General features: G+C 52.9%; 1 protein-coding gene across 1 annotated transcript in view, besides 1 other annotated feature; it reads left to right on the forward strand.

The window, feature by feature from the left end:
- The window catches only part of UBTD1 (ubiquitin domain containing 1), a 72283-nt gene that overhangs the window by 16754 nt on the left and 30626 nt on the right, over positions 1-24903 (forward strand). The window lies entirely within an intron of this gene.
- Positions 1616-2444: an enhancer, noted in NCBI's record as "H3K27ac-H3K4me1 hESC enhancer chr10:99277050-99277878 (GRCh37/hg19 assembly coordinates)". NCBI's record gives its function as "activates a minimal SCP1, AML or CMV promoter by ChIP-STARR-seq in primed H9 embryonic stem cells {active_cell/tissue: H9 hESC(primed)}" and the evidence as "EXISTENCE:reporter gene assay evidence [ECO:0000049][PMID:30033119]".

Genomic DNA, 24903 nt, shown 5'->3' on the forward strand with positions numbered 1-24903 from the left:
GAGCCCACACGGTCCCAAATGTTCCTGCTGCAGCTCCAGCCACACTCAGATGTACTGAGATCTCCCAGTCCAAAGTCCATATTCCCATGGGAGAAAGAGAGTCTGGTTGGCACAGCCTGGGTCACATCTCTACCCTCAGTCTACTCAGCTCCAGCCAAGGGATGGGGTCACACGTGATGAAACAGGTCTGGCAGGAGCCACTCCTGATACCATGCAGATCGGAGGCAGCTCCAAACAGGGGAACTTTGACAGCCACAAAGCCGGGTGCTCCTCGAGGCTTTGATCAGGAGCTCTGGTCCCAGGGAGGAAACTGGGTTTATGTGGAACATTTAATAGCCACATAAGGAGACAATGAAAGAAGTGACCCTCGGCAGAGCCCACCTGTTGCCAAATACATGGCTTTTCCAGTTGGGGCTGTCAGACCAGCGGGGGCCAGGGGCTCCCCAAGCCTGGTGTCAGCAGGAGCCCCTCCAGGTTCGCTCAGGGGAAAGGGGCTTTGTTGGAAGGATTTTGGCAAGGCAGCCTGGCCTCCTGGGAGCTGAGGCTGGAAGGCAGTCAGGAGTGGAGGTGGCCCTGTCTTTGGGGAGCTGTGTGGCCTCTCTGCTTTTGTCTGAGCATCTGCTCCTGGCCTCCCTCTTACAGAGGACCCAGGCTTCTCCTCTTACATGTCGGCGTGTTCCATGGTTGAACACACAGTGCCACCGTGGATGGCTTCTCTGGGTCACAGGCAGCCAGTGAGGGGGCTGGACCTCGTTGACTGGGAGGCTGCCCCTTTCAGGGCTTTGGGCAGGGCAGACATTAGAAATCCATCTCCTCGGCCGGGCACGGTGGCTCATGCCTGTAATCCCAGCACTTTGGGAGGCTGAGGCGGGTGGATCACTAGGTCAGGAGATCAAGACCATCCTGGCTAACGTGGTGAAACCCCGTCTCTACTAAAAATATAAAAAATTAGCCGGGCACGGTGGCAGGCGCCTGTAGTTCCAGCTACTCGGGAGGCTGAAGCAGGAGAATGGCCTGAACCCGGGAGGCAGAGGTTGCAGCCGAGATCGTGCCACTGCACTCCAGCCTGGGCAACAGAGTGAGACTCTGTCTCAAAAAAAAAAAAGAAACCCATCTCCTCGCATCTCCTACAGTCAGGGGATGCTGTGGACACTGGAGAGCAACGCCTTGACAGCTGGGGGGAGTGGGGACCAACCTGCACCAAAGCCAGGGTGCAGGGAGGGGAGGGCAGTAAGAGGTGGGGCCTGATGGCACCTCGGATGCTGACTGCGGGGCAGGGCCATGGAGGTGTGAGGAGCCACAGGGAGCCTGTGACCAGGGAGAGGCAGGGCACCTGGGAGGGCATTGCTGGACTCCAAGGATGACAGGGGTAGCTGGGAAAGGAGTAGGGCAGGATAGAAGACAGGGAGACCACCTGGGAGCCTGGTGGCACTCCAGGCAGCAAGGGAGGGTCAGGAGTGGAAGGGCAAGAGGTATGGAAGACGCTTTCAAGAAGGAGGTCCCGAACTTTGGCGACAGTCTGGCTGAAGCAGAGTGAGGGTCCAGTGGTAGGGGCTCTGGGGAGGGGCCTGGCACAACTGGGGCTTGAGGAAGGAGAGAGATGGGCAGCTAGAGGAGTGGAGCGCCACTGGAGAGCCTGGTGGTGGTGGCTGAGGGTGGAGAGATCTGGGGATGTTTACAGCAGGAAGGGAAGTCCCTGGGTAGAGGAGGAGCTGCTGGAGAATGGCTCCTGGGCCCACCAGCTCTGCCCCTCAGGAGCTGTGACAGTGGCCAAGTCGCCTCAGCTCCCTCATCTTCAACGTGGGGACAGTCTCTGCCCAGTCCCCTTGCCGAGGTGTGGGGAAGGGCTGAGGTTGTGCATGTCACAGGGCTCTGTGCACTGGGAAGTCTCGTGCGGATGCAGGCAGCCTTGTGACTGCAGTCACTCGTGGCATGGCACTGCCCGGTGGCCCTCTGCGGGATCAGGGAGGCTTCTTTTCTGGCCCTGGGATGTGACTGGACATGGGCTCCACTACAACCCATCTCCTGGGCATCTCAGGCCGGTGACCCTGCTGCCAACCGTGTTCCCGGTCCCTGGGGGTGAGTAGAGAACAGCAGGTGCCCAGGCCTCATGTCTGAGGGTCTAGGAATGACCAACTGCATAGGCCTAGGATCCCTTCACCCACACTGGCTTCTGAGATCCCTGGTGGTGCTGTGTGTGTGTGGAGACCAGCAGCAGGGCTGAGGCAGGAGGGAGGTGGCTGTGTTCTCCTTCCTGGGCAAGTGAAGAGGCCATAGGGGACGTGGTTGAGTGGGGGACAGACACACCCCATTTACTTCCTAGTGTGGAACTGGAGGGGCCGCTCCGAGAATGGTGTTGGCCTCCTTGGCCTGCTTCCCAGGGAGAAAATCTTGGAGCACTTGTTTCAAAGATGCCAGGAGAGTGGGGAATGCTGAAACCTGCATCCTGTTTTGCTGCTGGCCTAGGGAAGAGGACCCAGATGGGGACAGTAGATGGTGGCAGAGACTGGAATACTGGGTGCATCTTGGGGCCCACAGAGCTGGGGGAAGCAGATGGGGGTTGAGGCGAGGACCTGAGGTCAACAGGGGAGAACCTGCGGCTTCCTTCCTGTTTGATGCCGACCTCGCTCCATCCAGGACTGCCTGGCAGCCTGGTTCTTTCTCCCTAGCTGCCCCTCCCCGAGGACAAGGCCCTCTATCCTCTGCAGCCGACATCCCACTTTTCCTGTATGAGTCATGCCTACCGGCCCGAGGCTGCCTCCAGCTCACCTGCAGCTTCCTTTCTCCAGGAAGGCCTGGCTTCTATGTGTGTCTTCCTTGCCCTCCAGCCCGTTTGGCTATTTCTGTTCATTTTCCCTCCACGGAGCATCTGGCAGAGCTGCCTGCTCTCTCCCACCCCAAGCCAGATTTTGTCTTCTCCTGCCTGCTCGTTTCCAATCTCAGACCCCTTGGAGCATTATTTTTTCTAAAGTGCAGCAGCTGTGCATCTCCCTGGTCTGCCCAGCTGTTCTTGTCGTTGACTGGAGAGTTTATGTCACTTGTGACAATAAATAGGAAATGAGAATGAGAGGGTTGCCAGACTGCCCTTCCAGCTGCCTGAATTCCTCTCGGGAAACAAGGAGAGAAATAAGCACAATAAGGCTAACACTTAGAAGTACTTCCCATGTTCACTTAATGTTTTCCAGATGTAGTACCAAACCTTTTCCATGTATTATCTCATTTAATCTTTGTAGTAACTCAATGAAGTAAGTTGTATGATCATCCTCTCACAGCAGGGAACACAGAGGCCCAGAGAGGTTGTGTAATTTGCCCAACATCATCAATGAGTAAGTAGCAGAACCAGACCAGAACCTGTATCAGTCTGACTCCCAGGGCACTCTCCTAATCACTAGAGGAGGAGACGGCCATGGGCCAGGCATCTCCGGAGCCCACTTGAACTTCAAGTTTTCGTTTTCTCTAGTTGCCTGTTGCAAATAATAACGTGCTCAAAGGAGACCTCATAGTGTCATTCTCAGAGCCATCCTTTGTTCTCCTTTCTCTGTATCCCAAACAGCAAAAAGAACTTTTGGATGGTAGAGGTTGTAGTATTTCTCTTTGCTTGGAGTCCCCCTACCAGCATCCCATTTTATAGTCTTCCGTAAAGCTTTAAGAACTTCACGACATTATCCTTGCAAATAAGGGGCTACAGAGGAAGAAATAATAGCCTAATCTTGACTTTTCTCTGACGATCTTTCCACTTAAATCATGTTCCCTTCTCTCCTGAGCATGCTTGAAATGCCCCAAGATGCCTGTTCTACACATTCTGTATTGACAGGGAACATTTCTGCTCTTTGTGGTAAACCTTTTGTGTGCTATTATTGTCCGTGAGTGGTGATTGTCAACTGGGGAGAGAGAGGGAGAATGAATCACAGTCTCTGGGGATTGGGGCAAGTGTGAAATTTGAAAAGCATATTCAGGATCATAATCTCATTTTAGCTTTGGAAAAATATATTGTTTTTTAAATGTAGACAATTAAAGAAAGTGGACTTGGACAAAATCTTGCCTGATATTGCAGGAATTCTCAAGTGAGGCATAGCAGTTTTAGGTGGGGGTGTATATGGGAAGCCTGTATGTTGATTAAAAGGGGGTATGTGCTTTAAGAGGCTAAGAAGCTGTCTCCCAACAAGAGACTGTATGTGTCCTGTCATTCTGTCTCCCACAGCCCTGCAGGTGTTTACTGGAGGTCTCTGAGGATGGTGCATACTATATGGGGCATCAAAAAAGACCCAAGGGCTTGGGGCTTGGGGCAAGTGCACTAAACACCACTGGTTTACTAACTGGGACCTTGTAGCTTAGTGGTTAAGAGCACAGGTTCGGCTCAGACCATGGCAGAGCTTAAATCCAAGCTTTACTGCTTTGTGGTAGTATTCCTTAACCTCTAAATGTCTCAGTTCCTTCATCTGTTACATAGATGGTGGTAGTACCTACCCTATCATGTAACTGTGGTGATTATGTGGGATAATGCCTGGCACCTGGCTGGTAGTCAGTGATGGTGGATGCTGTTTCTTACCCATCCTACCTGCTTTGTCTCAGTTGGATCAAACCCTCATGGGGCTCTGGGTGGCTGACCCAATGGCTTTGTCGAAATGAAAGTGTTATGTGGTCCTTGAGGTCCTGGTTCAAGGCTAATCTGAAGCATCTGTCTGCATAAAGCCCAGATGAGCATTGAGTTTCTCCATGCCCAGTGCCGTGCTTGATCCTGGGTGTGCAGCTGAGCAAAATAGATACGGTCCTTCCCTCCCAGGTCCCACAGAATAACAGGGAAACACATGATACTCAGGTAATCAAAATGTAAGACATACTACAAAGGTAAGAATAAGGTACTGGGAGAGAATTATGGGGTAGGAGAAATGAATTATTTTGGAATGGAGGGTCAGGAAGCCTTCCCTGAAAAAGAGACACCTACGCTGACACCTGGAGACTGGGACTGAGGGAGCCGTGTTTGTCTCATGTGTCCCCACCCCTGGCCAGGGCTGCCTGCTGGTCCATGTACCACCTTTGGGTGAATTAGAGAAAGATGCCTCCTCTGGGCAGGGGCACAGCTGGAGAGAGAAAGGGAAATAAGCAAGTGGCCACCCCGGTTTCTGCCCTGTTGGGGTAAGGAGGTGTTTTCCCTTTCCAGGAGAAAGGAGAGAGAGGCCGTGTCCAGGACACTGTCCGGAGCTGCTAAACTGGCCAGCAAGTGCTCAGAGTCTGGTTTTCATGGGCTGCAGTTGGTGACTGTCTGCTGTGACCTTCTTCCCATAGCAGATATCTCTTCCACAATGTTCTATAAAGAGAGAGGACCACTAGGAGGGCAGGAGGGAGAGAGGAGGGAGATCTGCTGGGGAAGCCGGGCCACAGACTGAGGCCCTGGGCCTGCCAGCTCCCATCTCGCCTCCCCAGCACGAGTGCCTACTTCATGCTGAGTTCTGAGCTAACCTTGTTATTTAATCTGTAGTGTTTTGTTTTGTTTGCCTTCTCACCTGGGACCCGCCTTTCATTCCACAGGTAGGGGTGATGAACTCAATGCAAATGATGGTTGGTAAGGTGAGACTCTGCTGGGTGGGCAGCTCCCTGGCTGGTGGAGGGCACGCTTGAGGAAGTGGCATTTGAGTTCACTTCTAGGTGCTTGGATGCCTGGCACTCATGAGTGGAAGTTTCCAGGAGTTACTTTTCTGTTCCCCCTGAGGGAGATCTCCTTTCCCAAAGGAGAGTGGTCTGACGTGGGAACGGGCTGCCTCTGAGAGCCCAGCCTCCAGGGGTGGTGAGGGTCACTCCCAGGGATTCTTGCGTCAGCTGGGGCACACGCTGCAGAGCCTTCCACGACCTCTCTGACTCCAGTGGGATCTGGCTCTGCAAAAGTTAAGCCCTTCTGCCATAGCCTGGTAGAGGCTTTTTCTAAATCAAGCTGGGAGGGCCACCCTCAGGCAGGCAGGAGCAGCAGCCTCCAGACTAACCAGATCCTGGAGCTCTGTGTTCTGGGTCCCTGATCTCCCTGAAGCCCCAGCTACGGAGTTTGGTCCAGATTTCCCCCAGCAGCAGCTGGGCAGCAGTGTGTGCCTGGCCCCCTTTGGAGTGGGTCACACACCCACCTGGCCAGGCTCTGGCATGGAGGCTGGCACTAGAATGGGCTTCAGGGATAGCATGCACCTGTTTTGTGCTGCTGTTGTCAAGTAGCTGGCCTTGGGCTTCTTGGAACTACAGATGTTTGCGTCATTGGACTGATTGTCCTTTGACTTTTTCTTTGCCATACTGACTTTCTGTGGCCATATGGTTAGCTTTGGATACAGAGAGGTGTGAGGTGGTCCCACAGTGCCTGCCACAACATCAAGTTTCTATAGATGGGAGCCCTTCCGTAAACCTCAGAAGGTGGCAAGAGCATGTCTGACAGTGATTGGAATTGAGCTCTGCAAGACATAGACAAGATCACCTCTTCAACTCCAGAGTGTTGTGGCAGGGCACCAGAGCTGGAAAAGCCTGAAAGGTCATGTCCAGCTGCCCACGCAATGTGGGGTCGTTCCACTTAGCACCCTTGCCAGGCATTCAGCCAGACTTTCTTTGGGCGAGGCTAGCTTTTGAACGCACTGAATGCGTTGGCCTGTCTCTCTGTAGAGTGAGTGCCTGTGCCCTGTCTCATTGCCCACACCATGGCCTTGTGAGAGCAGCTCCCTCCGATCAGTGTGAACTTGGCTGAGCCCAAGTGTGCTTCCTTTGTGTCTCTCACTCACTGGTTCTGCCTGAGAAGTTTGTTTCCTTTAGGTAAAGTTTTCCTGTTATAGCTCTTGGGGTTTGAATTGGGTGACTTGTCTTACAGAGTGGTGAAGATCGGAGACAGGGTGTGTAACTTGCCCAGGTCATCTCAAATTTGTGGCCAGGCAGGAAACACAACCCCAGAGATGCTTGATCTTGTCATTTTGCTGCTCAGACACATTCTGCCTCCTTTCTGACCTCCAGCATGTTTTATGAGCAAGATTCTGAGAGCCCTCTCTAAACAGCAAGTCAGAGCTTTTAGCTTCCTTTCTCTTTAGATTGTACCTGGCTGGTGGGTGAAGGTGAGGGTGGGGATAGACATGTAGGAGCCATTTGGTGCCAGGAATAAGACAAAGCAGCTTGGAAGAGGGGTCTGGAGGGAGCCAGGGTGTGATGGCTGAGTGCCACAGAGGAGGGCCATAGCTGCAGGGCCAGGGCCACCCTGGCCACTCCTGCCTGCGTCTCCTTTAGAGGCTTTCATCTCCCTGACTCCTTTCTTTTTCCGCTGTCTCCTTTTCCTCTTCTGTTGAGGCATCCCTGAGCGTTCCTTCCCCTGCCTACCTGGAGATCTCCAGACCTTAAGATTTAGTGTCCTTGACACAGCGTATTTCTTTATAATGCCTTCCTCTTCGGGCTGTGCACCCATATCACTTCAGAGCCACTCCTGCCTGCACCTGGGAGCATTAACATCAGAGCCTTAACCAGATGCTCTGGATGCTGCCTGCCAGCCGCCCAGAACACTTAATTATCTTTTGCGGGAAGTGACATCTTACCCCACCGGGACATTTTATAGACAGTGTCTTCACCCTGAAGGTGGGAATTTCATGAATTGTGGCAGGTCAACAAGGTGGCCATCTGGGAGCAATAGAGGGAAATGGGCATTTGCGGAGTGTCTTCCATGCTCCAGGCACAGACTATTGTGTTCTCCCAGCACCTGGTGGTGTGGCATCATTCATCTCCATTTTACAGATTGGAGAACTAAAGCTTGCTAGGGTCACCGGGCCAGTTACTGGTTGGGGTCAGAATGAGAATCCTCTTCTGCTTGGCTCCAGAGCCCAACTCCTCCTGGTCTTTGCAGCCTGTCTGCAGGGCCTGTCTTCTCCACTGTTTCCTTGCTAGCACTGAGCCCAGCACCTGGCATCAACATGAAGCGATGGTTGTAGAAGGTGGGCTAGAGCTGGCAGGCAGGGACTTGAGCTTGGTAGAGCCAGGATAGTTGGGAAGATGATTTGGGCACCTGGGGGCTGGGGATGGGGGCGGTATTTTTCCTCTGTCTTTGTACCTTCTTTGGGTGTAACTTGGTGGACATCAGAGTTCAGAGTTGAGGTGGTGCAGGGTGTAGCAGACCCAGAATTAAGGCAGGACTGTTGGTCTCTGTGGCCTCGTGAGACTGCTGAAGACCCGACGTCCCTTGTTCCTGCTGCTTCTGTGGCAGCTGGAGCCAGTGAGATGATGCCCCTTCCCCATTTACTGTTTTCTGCAGTTCTGCCTCCGTGACAGCCAGCAGGATGAGTGTGGGGAGACCCGTAAGAGGGGCTAGAATGAATGTTTGTGTGCATTTGGTTTTGTGTTCCTCAGCCCTTCTTTAGCAGCAGGACTTGGCTTTTAAACCTGCCATGGGCTCCGAGGCTGCCCTCCCACCCTGATCACAGTGCCCCTGCTCCTTATGGGTTCCTCGCTCTGTCACCCAGGCTGGAGTGCAGTGGCGCGATTATGGTTCACTGCAGCCTCTACCTCCCAGGCTCAGGTGATCCTCCCACTTTAGCCTCTAGAGTAGCTGGGACCATAGGCATGCGCCACCATCCCTGGCTAATTTTTGTATGTTTTTGTAGGGATGCGGGGGGGTCTCACTATGTTGCCCAGACTAGTCTCGAACTCTTGGATTCAAGCAGTCCACCCACCTCAGCCTCCTAAAGTGCTGGGATTACAAGCATGAGCCACCAAGCCCGGTCCCCCATAGAGTTTTTACCCTGACTGGCACACCTCCTTCTTCTAGCCCCCTCTTCCTGATACTCCCAAATCGTAGGGGTTGGCTGGGAACAGGATTCACCATTCCTCCTGGAGGCACCAAGACAGGTTTTTGAGGACTACGATGACTTATGTCTCATTGATGCTCTGCTCACCCTATGAAGGCAGGTGCATTTCTTTGTGGAAAGCTGCCCTGCTGCGTTGAAGGGGTCTAATGATACAGTGGCTTAAAGAATGAGGAGTTTGTTTTTCTGTCTCATGTAATGGCCCTGATGTCCTCAACGTGAACAGACCAAGTGAGGGGGCAGCTCGGCTCCTTGTGGTCACCTGGGATCCTGTTTTTTTGAAGTTGCTGCCACATCATAGAACATTGTTGTTTGCATGGTTGAAGTTGGGTTGCAGCCATGTCTGGGCTCCAGCCAGTGGAGGGGGAAGAAAGGGTGGAGGAGGCCTGCCTACCTTCCCTAGGCCCTGGTCCTCCATGGCCCATGTGCAGCATAGTCACATGGCCTCCCTGGCTGCAAGCAAGGCTGAGAAATGTCTGCCTGGGCTGTTGTGTGGCCATGAAGAAGGGGAAAGTGGCTTTGGGTAGGTAACTAACAGCCTCACTACAGAAGATGGAGAGTATTTTCACTTGTGTGTGCTGAGAGAAGAATATGCCTCCCTGCTAGTCATGTGCCCACACTCTTTGGCAACTTGCACATGTGCCCCCTTCCTTGGGAAACATCTGTGTGCCAGACTATGCTGCACCAACTTAGGGGACCAGAAGCCAAAGAAGGCAATTTCTGCCTTTTAGCAACTCACAGTGTAGTCTGGAGAGGGTGTGTGTGGAACCCAGACAATCTGTAAATGCCAAAACAGAGAATCTCTTTTGTTGTATGCTGGGCACCGCAGATAGAGAGCTAAAAGACCACCTGGGGCCTCCATATGCTCGCAGTTGGGTGGACTGGAAAATGGAATGAAGTGCTGAGAGCAGTGTGGCTGAGGAATTAGGAGGGCTTCACAGAAGAGGTGACATTCTAGCTGGGCGCCGACATTTTCTATTTCAAAAGATGGGGTATCTTCGGGAGAGAAAACCAATAGCAAAGGCATGGAGACTTGGAAGCTCATGGAGGGCTAGTGGCTCAGGTGTGGTCTGAGCCTAGTGGAAGTGAGTGAGAGAACAGGTCCCAGCTGTCTATGCGGCTCACTTCTCCCTCCACTGGCCTCTGCACCCATCTCCATATTAGAGGCCTTCTCTGGTCCCCCATTCTCAATTCTAATCACTGTATTTTTCTGCTTAACTTGGGGATGACATATAAATACCTGACATACTCTAGATGGCCTTGTGCATTGTCTGTCTCTCCTGCTAGAATGTAAACTGCGGGAGAGCAAGGACTTTGTTTTGTATGGGTAAATACTGGGTCCTCAAATATTTGTTGAATGAATAAATGAATTTATGGGAATGTGGTAATGTGGACTGAAGATCATATTTTTGGAAAGACTTGATTTCCATGCTAAGGTGTTTGGCTTTTATTTTTAGGTAGTGGGGAGCCATAGAAAGTTTTTGAGCAGGGGAGTGACATAATCACTATTAACAAGGTTCCTGGCAGCAGCAAGGAAGATGGTCAGAGTGGGGAGAGAGTGCCACTTCCCTGGCCCTAGGTCAGCTCCAAAGCAACTTACCCTGCAGACTGATGTGCCATTTGTGTAGTCTGGAAGCCTATTCGCAGTCATTGTGTTTGGGGCGAAGCAGAGGATTCGATCTCTGGCAGGGCTTCATCCCTAAGGGTCTAACAAGCACTCTTGTGCACTGCTGGTGGAAGTGAAAATTGATAGTCTTTCTGGAAAGCAATTTGGCAAAAGGTAACAAGAACCTTAAAACTATCCCTGCTCTTTGACCTAGAAATTCCACAACAAGGACTTTATCATAGAGAATGAAGCCGAAGTGTGTGCAAAGCTTTATGCACTAAGACTTTGATTCTAGCGTGAAAAATGGAAAGTCTAAATGTGTGACTCAAGGACTTCTCAAATCCATCCTCTCATCTCCATCCCACTAAAACTCTGCCTACCATGATCGACACAATAAAATCTGAGTCCAGGCCCCTGTTTTTTCGCTCCTCTTCTAATGCAGCAGCCTCTTAACTGATCTTCCTGCCTTCATTCAAGACTCCTTAAACCCACTCTCCACATGGATTCCAGAGTGAACAATCAAAAATGCCTGCCTTACATATCATTTGGGGTCAGGAATTCAAGACCAGCCTGGCCAACATGGTGAAACCCCATCTCTACTAAAAATACAAAAGTCAGCCGGGCATGGTGGCATGCACCGGTAGTCCCAGCTACTTGGGAGGCTGAAGCAGGAGAATTGCTTGCTTGAACCTGGGAGGCAGAGGTTGCAGTGAGCCAAGATCACGCCACTGCACTCCAGCCTGGGTGACAGAGCAAGACTCCGTCTCAAAAAAAAAAAAAAAAAAAAGAAATGCCTCTCTTAGGCCGAGCGTGGTGGCTCACACCTGTAATCCCAGCACTTTGGGAGGCTGAGACGGGTGGATTACCTGAGCTCAAGAGTTCAAGACCAGCCTGGGCAACATAGGAAAACCCTGTCTCTACTAAAATATGAAAATTAACCAGGCGTGGTGACAGGCACCTGTAATACCAGCTACTCAGGAGGCTGAGGCATGAGAATTGCTTGAACCAGGAGGCGGAGGTTGGAGTGAGCCAAGATCGTGCCACTGCACTCCAGCCTAGGCAACAAAGCGAAACTCTTGTCTCCAAAAAAAAAAAAAAAAAAAAAAAGCCTGCCTTGGCAGGCTGCGGTGGCTTATGCCTATAATCCCATATGCGTTGGGAGGCCAACGCAGGAGGATCACTTGAGTCCAGGAGTTTGAGACCAGCCTGGGCAACCCTATCTATACAAAAAATTTCAAAAAGAAAAAGAGTGCCTATCCTTCCTTGGCTTTGCCCCTTCAGAGGCTCTCCCATCCCTTAGGGCATAATGTCCAAGTTGTGTCACTGGCCCAGAGGCCCTCACTGATCTGCCCTTCTTTTTTATTTATTTATTTATTTATTTATTTTTATTTTTATTTTATTTTTTTATTGATCATTCTTGGGTGTTTCTCGCAGAGGGGGATTTGGCAGGGTCATAGGACAATAGGAGGGAAGGTCAGCAGATAAACAAGTGAACAAAGGTCTCTGGTTTTCCAGGCAGAGTGTTTGTGTCCCTGGGTACTTGAGATTAGGGAGTGGTGATGACTCTTAACGAGCATGCTGCCTTCAAGCATCTGTTTAACAAAGCACATCTTGCACCACCCTTAATCCATTTAACCCTGAGTGGACACAGCACATGTTTCAGAGAGCACAGGGTTGGGGGTAAGGTCATAGATCAACAGGATCCCAAGGCAGAAGAATTTTTCTTAGTACAGAACAAAATGAAAAGTCTCCCATGTCTACTTCTTTCTACACAGACACAGCAACCATCCGATTTCTCAATCTTCCACCTTTCCCCCTTTTCTATTCCACAAAACCGCCATTGTCATCATGGCCCGTTCTCAATGAGCTGCTGGGTACACCTCCCAGACGGGGTGGTGGCCGGGCAGAGGGGCTCCTCACTTCCCAGTAGAGGCGGCCGGGCAGAGGCGCCCCTCACCTCCCGGACGGGGCGGCTGGCTGGGCGGGGGGCTGACTCCCCCACCTCCCTCCCGGACGGGGAGGCTGGCCGGGCGGGGGGCTGACCCCCCCACCTCCCTCCCGGACGGGGCGGCTGGCCGGGCGGGGGGCTGACTCCCCCACCTCCCTCCTGGACGGGGCGGCTGGCCGGGCAGAGGGGCTCCTCACTTCCCAGTAGGGGCGGCCGGGCAGAGGCGCCCCTCACCTCCCGGACGGGGCGGCTGGCCGGGCAGGGGGCTGACCCCCAACCTCCCTCCCGGACGGGGCGGCTCGCCTGGCGGGGGGCTGACCCCCCCACCTCCCTCCCGGACAGGGCGGCTGGCCGGGCGGGGGGCTGACTCCCCCACCTCCCTCCCGGACGGGGCGGCTGGCCGGGCAGAGGGGCTCCTCACTTCCCAGTAGGGGCGGCCGGGCAGAGGTGCCCCTCACCTCCCGGACGGGGCGGCTGGCCGGGCAGGGGGCTGACCCCCAACCTCCCTCCCGGACGGGGCGGCTCGCCTGGCGGGGGGCTCACCCCCCCACCTCCCTCCCGAACGGGGCGGCTGGCCGGGCGGGGGGCTGAACCCCCACCTCCCTCCCGGACGGGGCGGCTGGCCGGGCGGGGGGCTGACCCCCCCCACCTCCCTCCCGGACGGGGCGGCTGGCCGGGCGGGGGGCTGACCCCCCCCACCTCCCTCCCGGACGGGGCGGCTGGCCGGGCGGGGGGCTGACTCCCCCACCTCCCTCCCGGACGGGGCGGCTGGCCGGGCAGAGGGGCTCCTCACTTCCCAGTAGGGGCGGCCGGGCAGAGGCGCCCCTCACCTCCCGGATGGGGCGGCTGGCCGGGTGGGGGGCTGACCCCCCACCTCCCTCCTGGATGGGGCGGCTGGCCTGGCGGGGGCTGACCCCCACCTCCCTCCCGGACAGGGTGGCTGCCGGGCGGAGACGCTCCTCACTTCCCAGACGGGGTGGCAGCCGGGCGGAGGGTCTCCTCACTTCTCAGACAGGGTGGCCAGGCAGAGACGCTCCTCACCTCCCAGACAGGGTCGCGGCCGGCCGAGGCACTCCTCACATCCCAGACGGGGCAGCGGGGCAGAGGCGCTCCCCACATCTCAGACGATGGGCGGCCGGGCAGAGACGCTCCTCACTTCCTAGATGGGATGGCGGCCGGGAAGAGGCGCTCCTCACTTCCTAGGTGGGATGGCGGCCGGGCAGAGACGCTCCTCACTTTCCAGACTGGGCAGCCAGGCAAAGGGGCTCCTCACATCCCAGATGATGGGCGGCCAGGCAGAGACGCTCCTCACTTCCCAGACGGGGTAGCGGCTGGGCAGAGGCTGCAATCTCGGCACTTTGGGGGGCCAAGGCAGGCGGCTGGGAGGTGGAGGTTGTAGCGAGCCGAGATCACGCCGCTGCACTCCAGCCTGGGCACCATTGAGCACTGAGTTAACGAGACTCCGTCTGCAATCCCGGCACCTCGGGAGGCCGAGGCTGGCGGATCACTCGCGGTTAGGAGCTGGAGACCAGCCCGGCCATCACAGCGAAACCCCGTCTCCACCAAAAAAAAAACGAAAACCAGTCAGGCGTGCAGGCACTCGGCAGGCTGAGGCAGGAGAATCAGGCAGGGAGGTTGCAGTGAGCCGAGATGGCAGCAGCACAGTCCAGCTTCGGCTCGGCATGAGAGGGAGACCGTGGAAAGAGAGGGAGAGGGAGACCGTGGGGAGAGGGAGACCGTGGGGAGAGGGAGAGGGACTGGGACTGATCTGCCCTTCTTTGGCTTCATTCTGACCACCTCCTGCCTCGTGTGATCTACCTGGCAGCACTGCTTGCAGCTCCACAAACCTGAGCCCAGAGTAGGCTCACACTGCCTCCTCTGTCTGGCGAGCCCAGCCCCCTTGCCCTTTTGCCTGGCTAACTCCAGCTTGTTCTTTGGTACTTGGAGCAAACTTTAAGACCTTCCGCAGAGGGGGTGAGACCACATTCACGTGTCCCCCTGATTCCTGTGCATATCACTCCCCTTGCATGTGTGCATTAGTTTCTAACAATCTCCTGACATGTCTGTCTCCCTCACTAGCTCTGACCTTGAGAGCCTTAGTGACTTTGTGTCCGTGTTCCCCAGCACGGGGCCTGGTGCATACTAGAAGCTCAATACATGTTTCTTGAATGAATGAATGAATGAATGAATGGATGGATGAATCGATGAATGAATGAAGAATGATGCAAGCTCTTTATTATAAGAAATGCATCCTGAGCTGTGCATGGTGGCTTACACCTTTAATCCCAGTGACTCAGGAGGCTGAGGCAGGGGGAATGCTGGAGCCCAGGAGTTTGAGGCTGCAGTGAGTTACAGTCGCGCCACTGCACTCCAGCCTGGGCTACAGAGTGAGACCCCATCTCAAAAAAATTTTTACAAAAGCATACTTTATAGTGCTCAGCACATATTTGCTCAATAAATATTTATTAGATGATTCTGTGTGAAGTAAAAACAGGATTTTTTTGAAGTGTTATATTTATTCTATATTTTCTTTATGTCCTGAGTCGATTTCTAAGGATAGAACCTAGGGAAGAGGGGGCACAGGTAAATCCGGCAAGCAGCAGGGGTTGAGAACCACTGGTCCAGCAGCTGGTTTCAGATTAAAATAAAAACAGGATCGTGGACATCATAATGGTAGAAGCTTGTACATGCCATATGATCTCAGCAATATGAATGCTAATTGAGAGGAACAAAAGAAAATGTCTCAACATATTATTGCTGGTTATTTGGGGGTGATAGGATATAGGTTACTTATGTTTTTCCTTTTTATGTTTTTATTATATAATTTTTATTTTAAAAATTTTTTAAATTTTTAAATTTTTTACTTTTTTGAGACGGAGTCTGGCTCTGTTGCCCAGGCTGGAGTGCAGTGGCGCGATCTCGGCTCATTAAAAGCTCTGCCTCCTGGGTTCATGCCATTCTCCTGCCTCAGCCTCCGGAGTAGCTGGGACTACAGGTGCCCGCCACCACGCCCAACTAATTTTTTGTACTTTTAGTAGAGACGGGGTTTCACCTTGTTAGCCAGGATGGTCTCCATCTCCTGACCTCGTGATCCGCCCTCCTTGGCCTCCCAAAGTGCTGGGATTACAGGCATGAGCCACTGCGCCCAGCCTATTTTTTTTAAATTTAACATATGCCATCTTTTTTTTTTTTTTTGAGATGGAGTCTTGCCGTCACCCAGTCTGGAGTGCAGTGGCACAATCTCGGCTTGCTGCAACCTCCACCTCTTGGGCTCAAGTGATCCTCCTGCCTCAGCCTCCTGAGCAGCTGGGATTACAGGCGTGCACCACCACGCCTGGCTAATTTTTGTATTTTCGTAGAGGTGAGGTTTCCGCCCAGCTAATTTTTGTACTTTATGTAGAGACGAGGTTTCACCATGTTGGCCAGGCAGGTCTCAAACTCCTGACCTCAAGTGATCTGCCTGCCTCAGCCTCTCAAAGTGCTGGAATTCCAAGCGTGAGTCACCAAGCCCGGCCGACATATGTCATCTTTTAAATGTAAAAAATAAGAAAAGTGGTTGGACCAGAGACTCCTGACTGTGCTTGGGATCACTGGGTCATGGAGCCAGTCCCTGAGCTTCAGCCTTTGGTTAGTCCCCCAGGGGCGATTCTAGGTATCGGGTCCATTCCTGACCCTCTGGCCCTTTCTGAGCACCAGCATCCTGGTGCTCCGAGAAACTGTCTCGTGCCCTTGGAAACTGTGATAAACAGTTCCTAGGCCCACAACAGTCTCCCCTGTGGTTTCCAGGTCCCCAGGTGAGGGCGGAGCATGAGGAATGTGACAGGCCATGGTGTAATGGGATTTTGCTAAGAATTTACCACCAGGAGGTAGTCTCCAAATGGGTCCCAGAATAGAAAAACTGGCCTGTGGTGTGATGAGGAGTGGGACCACAGACCTGGGGGCCAAGACCAGCAGGAAGACTCAGCAACAAGGCATTGTGATCCTGGGGGCTGGGTAGTTGGCCATCCTGGCAGGCAGTTGGAGGTGGGCAGGGACAGCCAGGTGGGACACTGAGGGTTAGAAAGGTGAGAGAGTCAAGGAGTAGATAGTGGGGGGCTGACTGGGCCGGGAGAGCAGCCAGTGGAGGGAGCACCTTGGGTCAAGGCGCTCTCAGTCTGCCATCTCTTGGCCCTGGAGCAAACCAAGCAGTTGGAGTTGTCTGCAGGGAGATTTGTAAGTTCACTTGTTTGCTGTTTCATGCCATCTTCCTCCCAAAGCCTTTCCTGAGTCTCTTCCTGTATATGTTCCACAGTTAAGGCGAGCTCTTTTTCTCCTCGAAAGCTCTGTTGAGCTGGGCGCAGTGGCTCATGCCTGTAATCCCAGCACTTTGGGAGGCCGAGGCAGGCGGATCTCCCGAGGTCAGGAGTTCAAGACCAGCCTGACCAACATGGAGAAACCCCGTCTTTACTAAAAATACAAAAAAATTAGCCAGGCGAGGCTAGTGCGGTGGCTCACGCCTGTAATCCCAGCACTTTGGGAGGCCGAGGCGGGCGGATCACAAGGTCAAGAGATCGAGACCATCCTGGCCAACATGGTGAAACCCCGTCTCTATTAAAAGTATAAAAATTAGCTGGGCGTGGTGGCGGGCACCTGTAGTCCCAGCTACTTGGGAGGCTGAGGCAGGAGAATCGCTTGAGTCCGGGAGACGGAGGTCGCAGTGAGCCAAGTTCGTGCCACTGCTCTCCAGCCTGGGCAACAAGAGCGCAACTGCATCTCAAAAAAAAAAAGAAAGAAAGAAAGAAAGAAAGCCTTGTTGGTCTTTGGTCTTGCCTCTTATCACCTTCATCACTTTCTAATGTTGTGCTCTTATTTCCGGTGTGTCTCGGGCCCCTACCAAGGGCAGCCTGGAGTCTGGCGCATCTTCGCAGTCCATGTGGGTAGGACAGTGCCTGGCCCATGGTCAGGGTCCAGGGGAGGAGGAGTGCTTTGCATCCACTTTCCCAGCTGGAAAGCTCTGTTCCTGGCCTTGTGGCTGACTCCTGCATGGTGTTTCCCTGGGTCACCACGGCGACAAGATGCTCACTTGCAAGCAAATAGGATCCCCTGCCCAGGGCTGCCAGCCTCAGCAGTTCTTGACCTCCAGCTGAGCTGAAACTGAGAGGATGCCTTTTCCACCAGCTGGGAGCTGAGCCCATAGGGCTCCCTCCCTGACCCTTTGGTGACTGTGCTGAAAGCAGATACCTCCTGCTGCCCCGGGTTTGCTGCCTTCTCCTCCCCACCCACTGCTAGAGCCTGTCTGGCATCTATGAAGGGAGGACGTTTGGGCCAAAACAGGTGGTGGTCTCCTAGCACACAGCTACCAACTGCATCCTGTCTGCAAGGGAGACTTCTTCCCGGGGCTTTGCTTTCTCCTGGGTTTCAGCACCATGGAAGGCCGCCTATATTCTACGCCATAGCGGGTGGGAGAAGGGTACGAGGAGGCTGCTCTTGCCTGGCCTTGGGCTGGTGGAGCGTGTCTGAGGGAATGAGGCCTGATCTGTCTGCCCTCCCTCTTCGCAGCATCCCCCTTTGCCCCCCACCTCCACCAAGTCTGACTCAGCCCTTGCTTGACACAGATCTTAAGCTCTGGGCTGGGTGTGGTAGCTCACCCTGTAATCCCAGCACTTTGGGGGACTGAGGCGGGCAGATCACTTGAGGTCAGGAGTTTGAGACCAGCCTGGCCAACATGGTGAAACCCGTCTCTACTAAAAATACGAAAATTAGCTGGGTGTGGTGGTGCAGACCTGTAGTCCCAGCTTCTCAGGAGGTTGAGGCAGGGGAATCACTTGAACCTGGGAGGTCGAGGTTACAGTGAGCTGAGATCACGCCACTGCACTGAAGCCTGCGTGACAAAGCAAGACTCCATCTCAAAAAAAAAAAAAAAAAAATCTTAAGCCCTCATCAGACTCGCCTTGGGAGGGGCAGGTGATGTGGGCCACAGCCCATCTGCCCTAGGCCAGCGGGGCCCTGAAGCCTTCTACTGCCTGGAAACCTTGCAGGCAGGACCAGCTGCAACCTTTTCTGGCCAGCTTCTGCCGCCTTCCCCTAAGACAAAGGTCTGAGGACAGCTTGCCAAGGGTTCCACTGGTTTCTGCCTTTCCACAGGGCTCCTCTGTTGGGCCCTTTCCCACTTCACCCCCTTCCCAGGAAACCAGAGCTCTCACCACCTCCCATGTGGTCCACTCGCTGGTTCATTCTGTCAGCTTTTATTGAGCACCTATTGTGTGCGGATCATTGGCCTGAGCCCTGGGACTGAGATGGGGAGGGCCCAGCCCTGCCCTTACAGCTTGTTTGTGGTACAATTCGCACAAAGCGGCTTAAATGGGAGCTTTGTTTGATCCAAGGCAGCTAGAAACAGTCTTTCCTTCGAGGTACCTTGTAGAAGACACTCCAAGTCCTGGCTAAGCTTTCTCCACTTTGTCATGACAAGGATCTTTTACTGCGTTTCCCCCTAAGTCTCAAGATTTTCTACCACACCACATTCAAGCCAAAGCTTAAGGCACTAAGGAACACACACGCGCGCGCGCACACACACACACACACACACACACACACACACCACCCTTACTCCTAAAAAAGCTAATACATGCACAAATATATATCCTAGAATGTGAAAGGTCCACTACCCCACTTCTGGGGTAGAAAAGGTGGTGTGTGTTCCTCCAGATTTTTTCCCTTGCAGATGCTAACACTGTCTTTACAAACTTGGGCCCATTTGGGAGCTGCCAGTTTGCTTGGGAGGCACACAGCCTCCAAGGGCCACCATCTGACCCCTGGCAGAGACTCCAGCCCACACCTCTGCCCAGAGTAGAAATGATGTCAAGCTCTCAGTCCTCCTTGCCCGCCTCCCCACCAAGCGGCACTCAGCCAGCCTTTCTAAAGCCCTCTGTTGAAAGCCCTCATTGGCCAGGAGGGGGCGGCCTTTCTCCCTGCCACCCCCTTGAGGCCCACACTCCTCTTTGCCTGGAAGAAGAGGGTTTGTGTGGGCAGTGCAGAAATCTCACCTGGACTCTGGAGGCTGGGGGCTTCTGGGCTTTTCTGCCCATTCTTCCTCACTCTGGCCATATCTCTCACCTCCTCTGTCTCATGGCCCCAAGAAACCAAGTCACAGAGGCATCACCATCCAGGTTGGCCAAAGCCTCCTTTCTGGACTGGCCTGCTACCAGCTCCGTGTGAACGGCTAGTTCCCATATGCTGATAAGACATATCAACAGCTAGGTCTTAGCATTTCCATTAAACAACAGCTAGGTCTTAGCATTTCCATTAAAAAAAAATTACTTGGCCTGGTGTGGTGGCTCACGCCTGTAATCCCAGCACTTTGGGAGGCCAAGGCGGGCAGATCACGAGATCAGGAAATTGAGACCATCCTGGCTAACACAGTGAAACCCCATATCTACTGAAAATACAAAAAATTAGCTGGGCGTGGTGGCATGTGCCTGTAGTCCCAGCTACTCTGGAGGCTGAGGCAGGAGAATCGCTTGAACCCAGGAGGCGGAGGTTGCAGTGAGCAGACATTGAGCCACTGCACTCCAGCCTGGGCAACAGAGCAAGACTCTGTCTCAAAAAAGAAAAAGAAAAAGAAAAAAAAATTACTTGCAGCTGTAGTGGCTCATACCTATAATTCTGGCACCATGGGAGGATCACTTGAAGCCAGGAGTTTGAGATCAGCCTGGGCAACAAAGTGAGACCCCATCTCTACAAATTTTTTTTTTTAATTAGCTAGGTGCAGTGGTGCACTCCTGTAGTCCTAGCTACTCAGGAGGCTGAGGTAGAAGGATCGCTTGATGCCAAGTGTTCAAGGCTTCAGTGAGCCATGACCGCACTACTGCACTCTAATCTGGGTGACACAGCAAGATCTTGTCTCAAAAAAATAAAATAAAAAATTAATGTATCACCTACATGTAGTTGGAGAGAAATTATTATTATTATTATTATTATTATTATTATTATTATTTCGAGACAGAATTTTGCTCTAGTCACCCAGGCTGGAGTGCAGTGGTGCGATCTCAGCTCACTGTAACCTCCGCCTCCCGGATTCAAGCGATTCTCCTGCCTCAGCCTCCCAAGTAGCTGGGATTACAGGCTCCCGCCACCAAGCACAGCTAATTTTGTATTTTTAGTAGAGATGGGGTTTCACCATGTTGGTCAGGCTTGTCTCGAACTCCTGACCTCATGTGATCCATCCGCCTCCGCCTCCCAAAGTGCTGGGATTACAGGTGAGAGCCACCACACCCGGCCAGGAGAGAAATTCTTTAGAGACCTGAGTGAGGTGGTCATACAAGGTCTTCGTCATGACACAGTTGGGAGTTGTCCTTTAGTCCCCCAGTGGTGGCACGGCTGGTCAGAACAGGAGCCTGACAGCCAGGGTGAAGGAGACTAGAGAAGAAGAAAATGGGGCAATCTGTGGGTACCCCAGCTAGTGTTTGATTTTAAAATGACCCCTGCCCACCATACTGCAGACTTGTGTTCAGACATTTATGTAGACCTGACTTTGTCAATGCAGAATGAAGACCAGTGTCTCGTAGGAGGCCAGTGGGCCCAGGGGCAGGGTGCCCATCAGAACTTGAAGGGTCTGGGCCAACTCATGGGGCCTCAGCTTATCCTGCCGGCCTGCACACTCTACCCAGCCTGACTCCAGGCCGTAGATGCTTCTGTACCTTCTACTGGGAATGACTCCTACCTCACCCTCTTTCAAGGCCAGGATCACAATGTCATTCCTCCTCTAGGAAGTCTCCCCAAATTTGTTCCTTCCAAGCCTTCTGAATCTCCTTTATGCCACTTCCTGCTTGTCCAGTGGTGGAGTCATTCGGTCATACATTCATTCATTCATTCAGCTCACACAGGAGGAGGCACAGGGTGCAACTGTGAGGGAGAGACCAGGGCCCTCCCTTGGAGGGGCTGACCTTCGGAGAGGTACAGAGAAGTGAGGAAATGATGGCAGAATTGGAGTAGACGTGCATTCGGACAACAAGGGGTGTGGTGGGGACTGAGGGAGCCCACTTTAGTTAGGCCAGCAGGGCAGGCCTGTCTGAGGAGGTGCTCTTTAAACCTTGAGACACACTTTAAGGTAATTAGAATGTCTCCCTCATTTTCTCAGCCCCTTGAGTGCCCGGCAGGATCTTAAACACAGTGGGTACGCAGGAATTGTGTGTTGAAATGAATCTAGGCCATGACACTTTTGTCTGGGCCTGAGCACCCTGGTAATCATCACCCTTTCCTGCTGTAGGACCCCCCAGCCCCACCTCCAGCTGTCATTTGACCATGAAGAATTGGGTTACCTTGGGGGTCGGGTGGTAGGGGCTGCTCCCAGGCCAAGCCCATTAGCACCAGGGGTAGGATAGCTAGAGAGCAGGGGCCAGCGACCTGCACATAGCTTGGAGGATACATGTGACCTGTGCTCTTGCACCTGGATTCTTGATCAGAAATGCCTCACCTCCCCTGTCACCCTCATTATTGCAGAAGGAAACTGAGGCGCAAAGCTTGTATGCTGCCTCTCCCTCCAGCAGCAGCAGAGGCCAAAGCAGGGCAGGTCACTGTATGTGGAGAGGGTGAGTGAGGTAAGAGGTCTGAAAAGAGGGAGGAGGGTGAGGCTTGCTCCCACCTGGGCCCTCCCAGCCAGCCGGAGCCTATTTCCAGAGTCCTTGTCACACAGGGTCAGAGCTGGACATGACCTTAGAGATGAGCTAACCCAGCTCCCTCCATCCCCTGCAGTAGAAGCAGAAAGGAGGCCTGGTCTTTCAGGGTGTGTGCTTGTAACAGGCTTTCTCTTTTTTTTTTTTTTTTTTTTTTTGAGACAGGGTCTCTCTCTGTCATCCAGGCTGGAATGAAGTGGTATGATCTCACCCCACTGCAACCTCTACCTCCCAGGTTCAAGCGATTCTTGTGCCTCAGCCTCCCAAGTAGCTGGGACTACAGGTGTGTGCCACCACACCTGGCTAATTTTCATATTTTAAGTAGAGATGGGCTTTCACCATGTTGGCCAGGCTGGTCTTGAACTCCTGGCCTCAAGTAATCCTCCTGCCTTGGCCTCCCAAAATGCTTGGATTACAGGCACCAGCCACCATGCTCAGCCCCAACAGACTTTCCACATACCTCTACTCTAGCGCATACCAGTTTGCCTGCTTGTTTTGCTTTGTTTTTAAAATTTACATATATTGGCCAGGCACAGTGGCTCGCACCTGTAATCTCTGTACTTTGGGAGGCTGAGGTGAGAGGATCCCTTGAGGCTAGGGGTTTAAGACCAACCTGGGCAACACAGTGAGACCTCATCCCTATTTTATTTTTAAAAAAGTAAAAATAGAAATAAAATTTAAAAATTTACATATATTATTTATTATACATTTGTATGTTTTTAAAATGTACCACAGAGTAACAGATTACAAAGATTTCCTAAATTACACATTCAAATATATTCAAAATAGTGAGCATGAACAAAATGTCTGAGAAAACTAAGAGGGATCCTTGTGTGTATCATTTGTGTGATTCAGCTTCAGCCCAGACAGTGATATGAGCTCGTCTGGTCAGGGACTTGCCATGCTCGTCTGGACGTCCACCGTGCCTGGCACTGGTAGATGACAGTGAACATTTTATGAATGATTGTGGGAATGATCTGAGCAGTTTCTACTTTAACAGAGTCTCTGTGGGCTTATGAGAGTCTCTTCCTTCTGGATCTCAAAGCTTTTTTTGCACAGAATCTGGTAACCCTTCTGTGTGTATATGTGTGTGTGAGTGTGTTATTGCACATATGGTTTGCTTTGCAGTTTGGGGCAGAGGCTGGGGATTTTTGGAGGGCTAGGATCTTGCCTTAGCTGTCTTTGTGGTCCTCAGGAGCGCTGCACAGGTCTTTCCACAAAGTGGATGTGAGTTGAGTCTTAGAGCTGGAACGGGCCCTGGGAACCATGTTACAGATGAGTGGCTCCAGGGAGAAGACCTGCGCAGATCACATGGTGCATTAGGGCCATGCCTGGCAGTGCTTGTGTTGCCCTGGGCCTGAGGTGTCCCAGTTCAGGCAGCTGAGTTGGGTGCTGCCCAGGAGGTGAAGGCTGTCTAACAGCACAAGCGGGTTTCTCTTGAGAGGCCTGGGATGGGCAGTTGTCAGGTAGGAGCTGAAGCTCACATGTCCTCTGGAGCCTGGGGTTTCTGGAGGTGTCAGGAGGGATGGGCAGGGGAACAACAACCCCAACCCTGAACAGCTCCACTTTACCGGCCTCAGATAGGCTTCTTTCAAAGCCTTTCACTAACTTCGAAAAAAAGTTTTGGGCTGGGAGCAGTGGCTCACACCTGGAATCCCAGCCCTTTAGGAGGCTAAGGCGGGAGGATCAGTTGAGCTCAGGAGTTCAAGACCAGTGTGGGCAACAAAGGGAGAGACCCTGTCTCTACAAAAATTTAAAAATTAGCTGGGTGTGGTGATGCACACTTGTGGTCCCAGCTACTCGGGAGGCTAAGGTAGGAGGATCTCTTGAGCCCAGGAGGTGGAGGCTGCAGTGAGCTGTGATTGTGCCCGTGCACTCCAGCCTGGGTGACAGAGAGAGGCCCCATTTCAAAAAAAAAAAAAGAAGTTTTGCTGTTTTTTAAAAAAGTTCAAGACTGGTTGTTAACACCCAAAACAGGCCTCACCTGCCTACTCCCTCAAGCCTTTCTTGGGGGAGGGGACGGCCTGCATGGAGGGAAGTGGGGCTGTGTTTAGTTGGGGGTCCTGCTCTTGTGGCCTGGTGGGAGGCTGGGGATATGATGTGTGGGAGGACAAGAGGCCCTGTCTCTCCCTGCTCCCTGTGCAGACACCAGGGCCAACTCCTAGAGGCAGCTCTGTCACCGTTAGCTCCCTTCCTTCCAGATCCACCTCCTTAAGCATTGCCAAATCAAATAGCTGGGATGCCTGTGCAGCCCGAGGCCCTTCCAAACAACCACCCCCAGAGGGCTGGGTGCAGCCAAAGCCTCTGACCATTTCCGCCCCCTCTCCTGAGGGGCTGCCACCTCCCATCTGGAACCTTCTCTGAGGAAGGGGGAGGGGCATGGCACCACCAGGGTTGGGGTCATCGCCTCTCCTCCAGAAATCTGGATCCTGTTACCCTCCTATAGAGGGAGCAAGGAGGCTCTGTTCACTGAGGTCTTGTTTTTTCACATTTTTTTGTGGGTTTTTGCTTTATATTTCACAGGAACTTCAAATAACTCAGCTAGACTGTACACAGAATAGGACTTGTTAATAAGTGCTGGAAATGGAATTAGATGGAAAGAGGTTCATTCATTGATTCATCTTAGAACTGCTTCCTGAGCATCGGCTAGACTCCCACCTACGTTCTGAGCGCTTGTGACCTACCAGTCCCCTGACACTCAGGAGACGCAGTATCTTGTGGGGGTCAGGATGGGAGTTCCAGAGCCAGCCCACCACCCAGCTGTGTGGCCTTTGGATTAGATGATGTAATACATATGAAGTGTTTAGAAGACTGCCTGGCATATGATAAGCACTTAATAAATGTTAGCAGTTCTTGTTCATGTCATTCTTATTACCGTAGTGCTTGTGCTACTCC

This window comes from Homo sapiens, chromosome 10 (assembly GCF_000001405.40).
Source record: "Homo sapiens chromosome 10, GRCh38.p14 Primary Assembly".
NCBI classification, from domain to species: Eukaryota; Metazoa; Chordata; class Mammalia; order Primates; family Hominidae; genus Homo; species Homo sapiens.